Below are 13,154 nucleotides of genomic sequence, written 5' to 3' on the forward strand. Positions count from 1 at the left end.
TGATTTCCATGGAGGTGGGAGAGAAAGCAGCAAGCCCCTCCCCACCCCCTACATACATGTTCTATTGCTAAGGATTACATCACACTATAGGTCTTTTCCAGGACAGGGCAATGCCCTCTAAAAGTTTGCTGTGACTTGTCTCTGTGAGTTGTTTAGAGACAGGTAGCAGCACGTAGCACACCTCCAGCTTGTAAACCTCTCCTCTCCCCCTACTCAGCCTTCCCATCTGCTTTTAGAAACCAGCCAAGACATCATCCAGTATCCACACAGATTTCCAGAGAACAGACGGCAGATTCTATGTCAAAGCAGACAACACACGTGACATAGTCAAAAGATCCTAGCACATAGTCAAAAGATCCTAGCAGTTAGGAGATGGGGGTTCTGGCCCTGCCACTAACTGTGGTGACCTGAGGTAGGCCCCTTCACCTTTCCGCACCTCTGTTCCCTTTCTGAGCTCCTTTTTCTCTGTTTCAGCCCATTGTTTGACTCCTTCATAACTTAATAGGGTTTGTAATCATTTGATTTATGGATTTTTCTTTTTACTTGCTCTTAGTCTGTGCTCCCCACTAGAGTGTAAGCCCCTTTGGGCGATCTGATTATCCCATTGAATACCCAGCACTTGGTACATTGTCATCAGTCAGTAAATATCCATTTAAATTAATGAATGAATAAATTGATATCAAATGATCTAGTTTTAATATTCTATAACTTTTCATCTATTAAAGCAAAAACAAGTGAACATATATGAAAGAAAAATTAGCTTGCTTTGGTAGTTCCCAGGGACGAAATGGGGCAATGGATGACTAAGTGAACATTTCCTGTTCATCAGCCTCCTTCTTATAACACTTCGTTAGGATCGTAGGGAACAATTTATTATTTTTATATGTCTAACATAACCTGAGTAATTGTGAGCACAGAAATTGGAAAGTCTTTATCTTTCTGGCATTTTCTCGTCCTTCCTAGCATTTCTTTCCTGATTTGATAAATCGTTTTAATCAACACTTACGTACATGTTCTAGTCTACTCACCAAGTCTAGGCTAGTTTCTCCATTTCCATTACGCATTTGTTCCTTGGAATTTTTGCATTACTTCTACCCAATCTTGCCATTAACCCCAGAGAATTTAAGATCAAATTGAAACTTAAAAGTACAAAAATGTTCAATAGAGTCCTTCAGACCAGTCCAATTTTTGTGTTAGCAGAAACCATCTGGGCAAAGTCACTATAATGAATGCCATTAGCCACTGTTTCTCAATATAATATTAATATTTAATTAAGACTATGCTGATGGTTGGTCAATGACCCTAGTCTCCATCCTCGTGCCTCTCCACAGCCATTGAACTTCCATCCAATCAGGCCATCCCAAGCTAGTGGACCAATCGCAGATCATTGCAGCTTATTTCTCCCACATACACACACTCTTTTATTTGGTGGGTTTGGCCAGAATTTTCATCCTCTCTTTGCTTATTTGTGTCCAAGCAGCTAAGATGATGTATCTGGTATTTGCTGTTCATAGTTGCTCCTGACAGAGAAGTGAAGAGCTGCGTTTCCTTGAAATGTCTTTTCCAGAAAGATATAGATTTGATCCTCTGTTCTGGCCTTCTGAGAACTTCTGGCTAGGGCAAAAACATTTATGTGATTTCAGATGTTTATGGCAAAAGTTAAACCAAACAACCGATGCTTTTGTTTAGAGTTTTGCCCTATGTGGTCAAACTGCCATGCCTAAGCTTCTTTCCCATTTTCCTTCATTCTTCCTTCATCCTACTCAGATCAAACCATGCCTTGTTCTTCCTACAAGCTTGGTGCTTTCCTGAATCCTTGCCTCCTGAATAGTCAGCCCTGAAGGTTCAATACACCTGTTGCCTCCTCCGTAAAACTGTCTTAGATCACCCTAAATGGAAGTAATCTGAACCCCCATGGCACTCTTACTTCTCTTATAGGACTTTTCTTTCTCTACCTTGCCTTATAGTTTTTTATAAAATTGTTTGTCTCCTACATGAACAATAAATTACTTGTACATAGGAACTATCTCTTCTTCATCTTTATCTCTCACAAAGTGATCAGTATTATTGTTTGGTTGGATGATGTATTAGTTAGTTCTTATACTGCTAATAAAGATATACCAGAGACTGGGTAATTTATAAAGGAAAGAGGTGTAATTGACTCACAGTTCCACAGCGCTAGGGAGGCCTCACAATCATGATGGAAGGCGAAGGAGGAGCAAAGTCACATCTTAACACTACAGCAGGCAAGAGAGTGCGTGCAGGGGAACGCCCCTCTATAAAACCATCAGGGCCGGGCAAGATGGCTCACACCTGTAATCCCAGAACTTTGGGAGGTCCAGGTGGGCGGATCATTCGAGGTCAGGAGTTCGAAACCAGAGTGGCCAACATGGTGAAACCCCCTCTCTACTAAAACTACAAAAATTAGGTGGGTGTGGTGGTGGGCGCCTGCAACCCCAGCTACTCGGGAGGCTGGGGCAGGAGAATTGCTTGAGCCCAGGAGGCGGAGGTTGCAGGCAGTGAGCAGAGATCGCACCATTGCACTCCAGCCTGGGCAACAGAGCGAGACTCTGTTGGAAAACACACACACACACACACACACACACACACTTCAGATCTCGAGAGACTTATTCACCGTCACAAGAACAGCACAGGAAAGACCCACCCCCATAACTCAATTGCCTCCCACTGGGTCCCTCCCATGACACATGGGAATTATGAGAGCTACAATGCAAGATGAAATTTGGATGGGGACACAGCCAAACCATATCAGATAAATAAAATGTCTCTAGCTTGTGATATGAGACATCTGTTATACATTTGAAACTCAATACATATTATTAATAATAGACAACTTTATTATCCTTTTCTAACTCCAATGTCAGCAGGGAGCTGGAAAGCTAGTCAATGAACTAGAGAAGAACATAGGGAGAGTTGTTTGTCTCTGTGTACATTCAGGTGTCCAGGTATATTACAGGTTTATGGCAGGAATATTCATTCCACACTGAGCCAAGTAAGTGATAAACTGTCTACAAATAGAGGGCACCAGCACCTCCTACTGGAAGAAGGTAGGACATGCAGGTACTGATAGAGAAGTTTTATTGGAAAAGGTAAAGGATACAAGGTCATTTTCATCCTTGTTTGGTTGACTTGTACTTGTACTTGTTTGTTCAGGTATAACCCATGAGTTTGGGACACAGCGAGTGAGCATATATAGAACAGAATAGAGGTGGGATGTTTCCAGGTGCCTGGTTAAGCCTGGAAAAACATTACCCAAGACAGTCCATGAACGTATAACGAGACCTAAGAGCTGAAAGCACAGCCAAGGGAGTATTCTGCATTGGGATTGGAAAAGATGACAACATTCAAAGAACTAAAGGTCTGAGGAAAAGCTATATTGGTGATATGAGCAGCAAAGTTGGTAATCTTGGGAGTCACAAGCAGAGAAACAAGTAAGGTATGGATCAGTCAGGTAATTTTGGAAAAGTGCTTAGAGAAGAAAGTAAGATACAACCCAAGACCTCCAAGAACTCATTCACCAAGTCTTTTGTTATACTCAATGAAACTCTGTTTCCACACTCCATTCATCACTTCAGGAAGCCAAATTACTGCTTCATTTACTCATTCAAAAATATCTAAATAAAAAATATTATTGAGAGATATATCGAATATTTTATTTTAAAAAGATGCATGCTATTTCTGGTTAGTTTTTTTAAAAGTCAATTCTTCCCCTATATGCAAGCAAAATTCAATTGGATTTTTTTTATTTTGGCCAAATAAAGTTTAAACATATATAAAAGAATCAACAAGAAAAATCAGCTGCAAAATTTTTTAAATAGAACTGTTGCGAGAAGGTTCTACTCTGTTAGCCATGAAATCATACTATAAAGCTGACATAAGTTAATGTGGTCTTAGCACAGAAATTATCACAGATCAATTAAACAGAGTAAATAATCCAGCAATGTACACCAAGCTCTAAAACATTTAGTATATAATAAAGAAAGCATCACAAACAAGTGGGAAACATGAATTATCAAATACATGGCAGTTTAGAAATTAACTATTTGGGGAAAAGTCAGCTTTGAGACTCAGCTCATGCACAGATAAATTCTATATGGATCACAAAAAGATGTAGAATTCAAACTTTTAAAACATAGGTGATTATGCCATATTGCTGGGTGGGAAATGATTTTCTAAACATAACAATGGGAAAAAACATAAAGACTTAGATGTAAGATCCAAAATTATGAAACTACTAGAAGAAAACATAGGGGAAACATTTCATGAAATTAGACTGGGCAAGAATTTTTTTAATAAGACCTGAAAAGCACAGGCAAGGAAAGCAAAAATAGACAAATAAGATCACATCAAACTAAAGACTTTCTGCACAGCAAATGAAACAATAAAGTGAAGAGACAACCTACAGAATGGGAGAAAGTATTTGCAAACTATGCATCTGACAAGGGATTAATATCCAGAATATATAAGGAACTTGAGCAACTCCATAGCAAAAAAAAAAAAAAAAAAAAAAAAAAACCCAAATAATCTCATTTTAAAATGAGCAAAAGACCTGAAAATATATTTCTCAAAAGAAAACATACAAATGACCAACAGATCTGTGAAAATATGCTCAAAACCACAAATCCATCAGAGAAATGCAAATTAAAACTGCCGTGAGACATTACCTCACCCCAATTAGAATGGCTATTATCAAAGACAAAAAAAAAAACTAACAAGGATGCAGAGAAAAGAAAACTCTTACACACTGTTGGTAGAAATGAAAATTAGTGCAGCCATTATGGAAACAAATATGGAGATTACCCAAAAAATTAAAAATAGAACTACCATACATCCAGCAATTCTATTACTCAGTATATTTCCAAGGGAAATGAAATCAGTATATCGCAATAACTCCTGCACACCCATGTTTATTCCAATGTTATTCCCAAAAGTGAAGATATGAAATAAACCTAAATGCCCATCTACAGATGAATGGATACAGAAAATGTGGTGTATGTATATATATAATGGAATATTATTTAGCCATAAAAAAGGATGAAATCCTGTCATTTGTGGCAACATGGATGAACCTAGAGGCCATTGTGTTAAGTAAAATAAGCCAGGCACAGAAAAACAAAAACTGTATGATTTCACTCATATGTGAAATCTTAAAAAGTTAATTCCTTAAAAGTAAAAGGTAGGATAGTAGTTACCAGAGGCTGGGGAAGGGAAGAGAGAGGGATGATGGGGGAGGCTGGTCAATGGGTACAAGGTTATAGTTAGATAGAATACATTTTTGTGTTCTATTATACATCAGGAAGACAATAGCAAATAACAATGCAGTATATATTTCAAGATAGCTAGAAGAAAATATTTTGAGTATTGTTGCCACAAAAAAATGATAAATGTCTAAGGTGATAGATATGGTAACTACCTACCCTGATTTAATCATTATATTATGTATACATGCATTGAAACATCATATTGTATCCCATAAATATGTAAAATTATGTCATTATAAATTTAAAAATTAAATTTTAAAAATTATAATGAATATATTTGTTTCCATTCAATTTTTTAATTACTATACTTCAAAATAATGTCATTAATAAAACTAAATCACAAGCTGGAAAAGTATTTGAAACAACAATATTCTTTTTAAAACTTTTTAGAATTTTGCTAACTCTTCATTCTGGTCTGAAACAATATTCTTTTTTTTTTTTCTTTCAGAAGACAAGGCCGTGGCTATGTTGCCCAAGCTGGTCTCCAACTCCTGGGCTTAAACGATCCTCCTGCCTTGGCCTCCCAATGTGCTGGGATTACAGGCATGAGCCACTGTGCCCAGCCCTGAAACAATATTCTTGATACATAAAGAACTTCTGTAAGTCAGTAAGAAAAACACTAACAATGTAAATATTAAAGGACATAAAATAGCTAATGTACAAAAAGTAGAAATGTTACAGTTAATAAACAGGAGAAATGCTTAACCTCACTAATAATAATGAAATGCAAATCAAAATAATAATGAAATATGTTTTAATAGTTATGTTTTTCAAATAACATTCTGTACTAGCAAAGTATTTAGGAAGAGATGCTCTCACATTCCACTGGCAAGAATATAGAACCTTTCTGGTCAGAAATCTGAAGACAAGTAGCATTTTAAAATGTTTTCATCCAGACTGGGAACAGGTGCCTTTGACATCCCAGATGCTCGGGCCTGGCTGGGGCAAGGTGCACTTACCATCCCTGAGCCAGTCTAGCTGCACAGTGGGGAAGTGTGAGATGCTGCAGAAGCTACCGCATAGCCCACAGCCTGACATTCCAGAACCTTGGGACACTCTGGAGCATCCACAGGGAAAAGATGTATGCCAAGAACTCAGCCTCGGCCTGCTCAAATACACACCATTCTGAGTTTCTATGAAGGTGGTTATGTCCAAGATTTCCCAGGACAATTCATTCCAATAAGGAGGAAAGAGTATGAGGATTCGAGGAGCAGGGCCAGGGTAGTGTTCTGACCAGGATGGGTAGCATGGTGGGGAAGAGCATGGGCTGCCTCTGTTCAAATTCTAGCCCTGCCTCTCACTCAGCTGCGTGACCCCTGGCAAGTTACTAATCCACAGCTGTGCTTCAGTTTTCTTGCCTATAAAACAGAGGCCAATACTGGTGACTTTAGTCAGAGTATCAAGTACAAGATGCCCTTTTCTGGCACAGATGGGAAATACTTGATAAATGTTCATCTTTTATTATTTTATTATTATCATTGCTCGCTTTCCGGTTCTGGAGTTGGGGAGACCTTTCCTCATCGAACAATCAAATATGCGCCTGCCAGGCAGAGGCCACAAGCACTGCTGGGCTGCCATCAACCTTGTCTGGTAGCCTTCTTCTCCTACTCAGATACCTTAGAGACAAAACTTCTTGAAGCCCAGGGCCATGAAGTTTTCCTACTGCTGCAGGAACTCAGGCAAGGAGCCAGAGTCCCAGGCCTCTGCTGAGGCTGCGTAAGGCCCTAGTGAGGACAGCGTTGATTTGAGAACCAATGAGTAAATGCAGACAGCGGCCAACCTCCTTTCCCACCAGAAACCTGGGGGTCCATGACAGCTCATCCCAGCCAGGCCCTTGTGGAACCAACAGAGGATGGCTTAGCTCCAGGCCAAGTCATAGGCCATGGACCAGGCCCAGCTCTCCTGGGGCAATTGGACCCCAAGAGGCTCTGCCTAAGACTGGGTCTTGCTGCATTCTGCCAGGGGCAGGCTTGTGTGGGGGCATGTTGTCCAGGAGCCCATGATAGCTTTCATATGTGAGGCTCCTTGTAGGAACAAAACAATTACCAACCTCTTGGCCCTATTGATGAGGGCACTAAGAATCTCTGTTCACAGCCTCCCCAAAACAATGGTGGCCCACAGGCCCACAATGATTTCTAGCTCTTGTAGAGACCCAGACAAATTGGGCATCTGGCTGTATGGGAGGGGAAGGCTGTACACATGGCTGTGGCTATGCTGCTGGAAAGATAGCGCTTGATCCAGGACAGATAACGGTCCTCTAGAAGCCCCCCACTCTCATCAAGTGAGCATCTGTCCTCGGGGCAGCTCCTTCTTCAGGCAAAGAGAAGGGACTGATTTAGGTTCTGCTCATTCTCCTCTCCTTGCTGCCCTGGTGCCCCTGGGACCATGGACCCTTGGAATAATGCCCAAACCCCTGGTCCCCAAGGCCAGGGAGAAAGCAGCACCTGCCCCCAAACCTGGGCTTAGGGCTTGAGCCACTAGGGCTTCCCAAGGAAGACATTTGCAAATGCCTAGATCCGAGAAGTCAGATGACTAAGAAAGGAATCCAAGAAGACAGGCCATCAACTTAGAGATTTATGGACTATGTTGAAATGAACTGAATTGTGTCCCCCTAAAATTCATATGTTGGTGCCCTAACTCCTGTATGATGGTATTTGGAGATGGGACCTTTGGAAGTTACTTAGGTTTAGATGAAGTCGTGAGACAGGTTTAGATGAAGTATTGAGAATGGGGCCCTCATGATGGGATGAGTGCCTTTATAAGAACAGACACCAGGAGGTTACTCTCTGCCTCCCTCTCTCCCCTGCCCCATCATGTGAGGGCACAGTGAGAAGCCAGGAAGAGGGTCCTCATCAGAACCTGACACCGTGGCACCCTAATTAATCCTCAGGCTTCTAACATCTAGAATTGTGAGAAAAATGTCTACTCTTTGAGTTGCCCAGTCTATGGTATTTTGTTATGGCAGCCTGAGCAGGAAAAGACACTGGTGCTCATAAACAGAAAACAGAGGTTCCAACACAACAAACAGGGCAAAAGAAAGCAGGACCTGAAAACAATGAGAGTCAGACATGGGGCGACAAGGCAGACCCGCTGAGTGTGCAGCGTGGATAGTTCAAGGCAAAGCTCATGGAGCCAGACTCCAGCCCCAACATCTCCATTGGAAATGTTAGAATTCTTCTGCCAGCCCTGGCTGCCAGAGTCCTCAAGGGGCAGCTCCTCTGGACAAGAAGGATCCCAATAGCCACTCTTGGTAAAACAGCATTCAATTTGCAATACTGACTAGGTACCAATATATGCCAGGAGCCATGCCAGGCATTGGGGTACAGCTGTGAATAAGACCAGCCTAATCTCTGTCCTCACAGAGCTTCCCACATAGCAGGAATTATAGATATTACAGTAGAAATTACAGATGCACTAAGCATTGCAGAAAACTTCTGTTAGTGAATAGAATTTGAAAAATAGACATCAGACTTAGCAGCTATCCAACCCTAGGCTCACAAGAGGTAACAAAAGGCTATTTTGAAAAAGCTTGGGAATCCTTCATAACGGAGACTGCATGGTGGTAATTTACCCTAGATGTCCTCCAAGCTGCTCAATAATCCATTTCGATTTTATCATCCATGAACATCTAAATCCCTCCTGAACTTTACCTCTTTACTGTTCCATTCTATTTTACCATTGCTGACTTAACACTTATCTTGAATTCATTCACGGAGTCTCAAGCTTTTTCTTTCTATGAGGGGGAGTTCTTATCCCATCAATGTATTCTCTCCCAGAACGTGCTCCTTTCCCTTCAGCACTTAGTCCTGGACTTTTCCCAGCCCAATTATGTCATTCCTGAGATGGATGCTCATAAATGCCAGCAACCCTAGTTTTGTTGCCAGTGCCCATTGCCAGGATCTGCCCACGTATTCCCTCTGGCCAAGAGCAACCCCTTCTCTGCCTGCCCCTGCAGGCCGAGGAAGGCCACGGCCCCAGTGCCTGCCCCTTTGCAGAATGGACCCTTCTCATTCACAGCATCTTACTTGTGCCCAGGTTTTGTAGCTTGCAGAGTTCTTTCATAGACAATTTCTCATTTGATACAAAAATCTTGAGAAGCAGGCAAGGTAGACATGAGTTTTCTCATGATTTAAAAAATAGAAGTTCAAAATTAATTAATTTATTAAATAAGTTGCCCAATGTCATAAAACTAGTAGTGGCAGATGCAGGAATTCAACTTGGGTCTCCTGAGTTGTACCTGCCCAACCACCCCCTTTCTTTAAACCCAAGGCTGCATGCTCTATCTCTTAATATCTGCCGCAGATCTCTTCCTTGTCTTGGTGCAAACCTTGGATTCAGAACACTGGAAGCTCCAGGTAAATAGCACTTCCTCCAGAGTCTCAGTCCCTGGGACCCACACCTGGGAGGCTGACCTTCCCCCACACTCTTCTCTACCTGGCCCCTCGCTTCCCAAGGGGGCAAGGGTGATCAGGCCATTTCTAACTCGCTACTGTTCCTCTGAATGGTGGCATCTCAGTGTTAAGTCCCAATTTCTGCCCAGCACTAAGCCATGCTTCTAACAATGCTCAATAAATGTTTGGCAAATTGATAGAAAATCTGCTGTCTGCGTATTTTCTGACTCACTGCCTCACATTGCCCTCTGACTCATGTATTCTTTAAGACTTGATTTTAGGCCAAATTTCTGACAAGCAATACCAACTCTTCCAATTTAGAGACTCCAATATGACCTATTTCTTGCTATAATCAGCATTCTTTTCAAAGGGTACTTATGTGTGCACCAAATACTGGAACCCCCGCTTTATCCAATAGTGTGATCAAGGCTATGATGGAGCTAAAGGGATCCAAAGCTGCTTAATCCAAATGGATTGAGGGTGGAAGAGAAGAAAGATGGGGCAGGTAGGCTTCCAAGAAGAAAGTGCCTGAGTCGGTTCTTAAAAGTGAGTAGAACTAACCAAGATGGAGGAGAGGGGAGAACATTCTAGGTAGGAAATGTGGCACATGAAAAGACACAGAGTGTTAGAGATGATGGTGTGTTGAGGAACTACGAGTTCCTCACAGTTGAGCATGGCTGGAGGGCAGGTGGGGATAGGATGGAGAAGCGAGGTCTGGAGAAGGGCATGGACCAGGTAAGGAAAGGCCATGTGGGCCATGCTGAGGTGATCAGACTTCACATTGAAGGAGATGGGCAGCCCTTGCAGAATGTTAATGTGATAGAATCAGATTTGTGCAAACACTCTGGCTGCATAAGAACAGATCATACGGGAGCCAAATCTATTGAGAGCGTGCTGCTTTAACCTGCATAAGAAATAACTAACAGAAAATCAAATGATGTACAGAAGCTTAGAATGTCAATGCTGAAAGGGGCCTTGCAGATGGGTCATCTTATCCAAATGCTCCATTTTAGAAATGAAGTAAGGTGGTCAGAGAGGGAGGCCAAGAATTAAGTGCTACTCTGCTGCCATAAATGCCCCTACCTGGCCCATTTATTAGTCCTCTCTCCCATCCATGGATTTGCTTGCTAGGGCTGCCACAACAAAATACCACAGACTGAGTGCCTTAACCAACAGAAATTTATTTTCTCATAATTCTGGAGGCTAGAAGTCCAAGATCAAGGTTTTGGCAGGTTTAGCTTCTTCTGAACCCTCTCTCCTCGTCCTGAGAATTGGCTGCCTTCCAGTTGTGTGCTCACATGGTCATCCTTTGGCTGTGTGGGTCTGTTTTCTAATCCCCTCTTCTTATAAGTGCACCAGTCATATTGCATTAGGGCCCATCCTAAAAACCTGGTTCTAACTCTACTCTTCTAATTCTTCTAATGATTCTAACTCTTTAAAGGCCTTATCTCCAAGTACAGTCATATTCTGAGCTACTGAGGGTTAGAGCTTCAACATATTAATCAGGAGACGGGGAACAGAGTTCAGCCCCTGAATAACAGGAAAGTGTATTCACAGGTGCACAGGGCAGAGGAACATGACTCTAGCCATTTGGGAGTTAAAGGATGAATTCTCAAGCAGAAAGAGGAAGCAATGGTAATCCAGGCAGAGGGAAGAAATGAGCAGCGTCCCTCCTGGAACATTGATCATATGACAAATTTCCTTGGGTCACTGAACACACATCGAGGGCAGAACCTCACATCCAAGCTGATATCAACCCACTGTGCTCCTGCCCTGTCACACAACACAGTTTGCAAGACACCTCCTCAACGGGTCACCTTTAGCTTATTATTTACCACACAGCCAGGGGAAACCAGAAGTGGGGCCTCTTCCAGGTCACTAAGGAATGTGCTGTCTCATCATAGCGCTGACCCATGAGAGAGTCCCACCACTAAATTAGCACTCTGTGACTGTCCCCCTTGCTGGAATACTCTGCAGTCATTATGCTGTGATAATCCCAAATCACAGAAATGCTCACAATACAGTGTTAAATGAAGAGACACAATTCAAAGGTACATTATAACTTTCATGCTGTCAAAGAAAGGACTGGGAAACATTTCAAGAAGATGTCAATAACAATGGTTTATGAGAGTAATATGTAGTTTTCCAAATTTTTTTATTACACTTTAAGTTCTGGGATACATGTGTAGAATGTGCAGGTTTGTTACATAGGTATACACGTGCCATGGTTGTTTGCTGCACTCATCAACCCATCATCTACATTAGGTATTTCTCCTAATGCTATCCCTCCCCTAGGCCCCCATCCCCCAACAGGCCTCAGTGTATGATGTTCCCCATCCCTGTGTCCATGTGTTCTCATTGTTCAACTCCCACTTATGAGTGAGAACATGTGGTGTTTGGTTTTCTGTTCCTGTTTTAGTATGCTGAGAATGATGGTTTCTAGCTTCATCCATGTCCCTGCAAAGGACATGAACTCATCCTTTTTTATGGCTGCATATATTCCATGGTGTATATGTGCCACATTTTCTTTATCCAGTCTATCATTGATGGACATTTGAGTTGGTTCCAAGTCTTTGCTATTGTGAATAGTGCTGCAATAAACAATTGTGTGCATGTGTCTTTATAGTAGAATGATTTATAATCCTTTGGGTATACGCCCAGTAATGGGATGGCTGGGTCAAACAGTATTTCTGGATCTAGATCCTTGAGGAATCGCCACACTGTCTTCCACAGTGTTTGAACTAATTTACACTCCCACCAATAGTGTAAAAGCATTCCTATTTCTCCACATTCTCTTCAGCATCTGTTGTTTCCTGACTTTTAAACGATCGCCATTCTAACTGGCGTGAGGTGGTATCTCATTGTGGTTTTGATTTATATTTCTCTAATGACCAGTGAAGATAAGCCATTTTTCATATGTTTGTTGGCTGCATAAATGTCTTCTTTTGAAAAGTGTCTGTTCATATCCTTCACTTATTTTTTGATGGGGTTTTTTTTCTTGCAAATTTGTTTAAGTTCCTTGTAGATTCTAGATATTAGCCCTTCGTCAGATGTATAGATTGTAAAAATTTTCTCCCATTCTGTAGGTTGCCTGTTCACTCTGATGATAGTTTCTTTTGCTGTGCAGAAGCTCTTTAGTTTAATTAGATCCCATTTGTCAATTTTGACTTTTGTTGTCATTGCTTTTGGTGTTTTAGTCATGAACTCTTTGCCCATGCCTATGTCCTGAACTAGGTTTTCTTCTAGGGTTTTTATGGTTTTAGGTCTTACTTTTAAGTCTTCAATCCATCTTGAGTTAATTTTTGTATAAGGTGTAAGGAAGGGGTCCAGTTTCAGTTTTCTGCATATGGCTAGCCAGTTTTCCCAGCACCATTTATTAAATAGGGAATCCTTTCCCCATTGTTTGTTTTTGTCAGGTTTATCAAAGATTTGTTTATCAAAGATTTGTCAAAAAGGTTTGTTTTGTCAGGTTTGTCAAAGG

The 13,154-nt window shown here is 41.5% G+C and overlaps 1 long non-coding RNA gene across 1 annotated transcript in view, besides 1 other annotated feature; it reads right to left on the reverse strand.

Annotated features, from left to right (window-relative positions):
• LOC107984253 (uncharacterized) overlaps positions 1–13,154 on the reverse strand; it is a 30,274-nt gene that overhangs the window by 15,125 nt on the left and 1,995 nt on the right. The gene's annotated exons all lie outside the window — the stretch shown is intronic.
• Positions 9,728–10,022: a silencer, noted in NCBI's record as "tiled region #15620; HepG2 Repressive non-DNase unmatched - State 21:Repr". NCBI's record gives its function as "represses a minimal TATA promoter and a strong SV40 promoter by Sharpr-MPRA in HepG2 cells {active_cell/tissue: HepG2}" and the evidence as "EXISTENCE:reporter gene assay evidence [ECO:0000049][PMID:27701403]".

This window comes from Homo sapiens, chromosome 10 (genome assembly GCF_000001405.40).
Source record: "Homo sapiens chromosome 10, GRCh38.p14 Primary Assembly".
Classification (NCBI taxonomy): domain Eukaryota; kingdom Metazoa; phylum Chordata; class Mammalia; order Primates; family Hominidae; genus Homo; species Homo sapiens.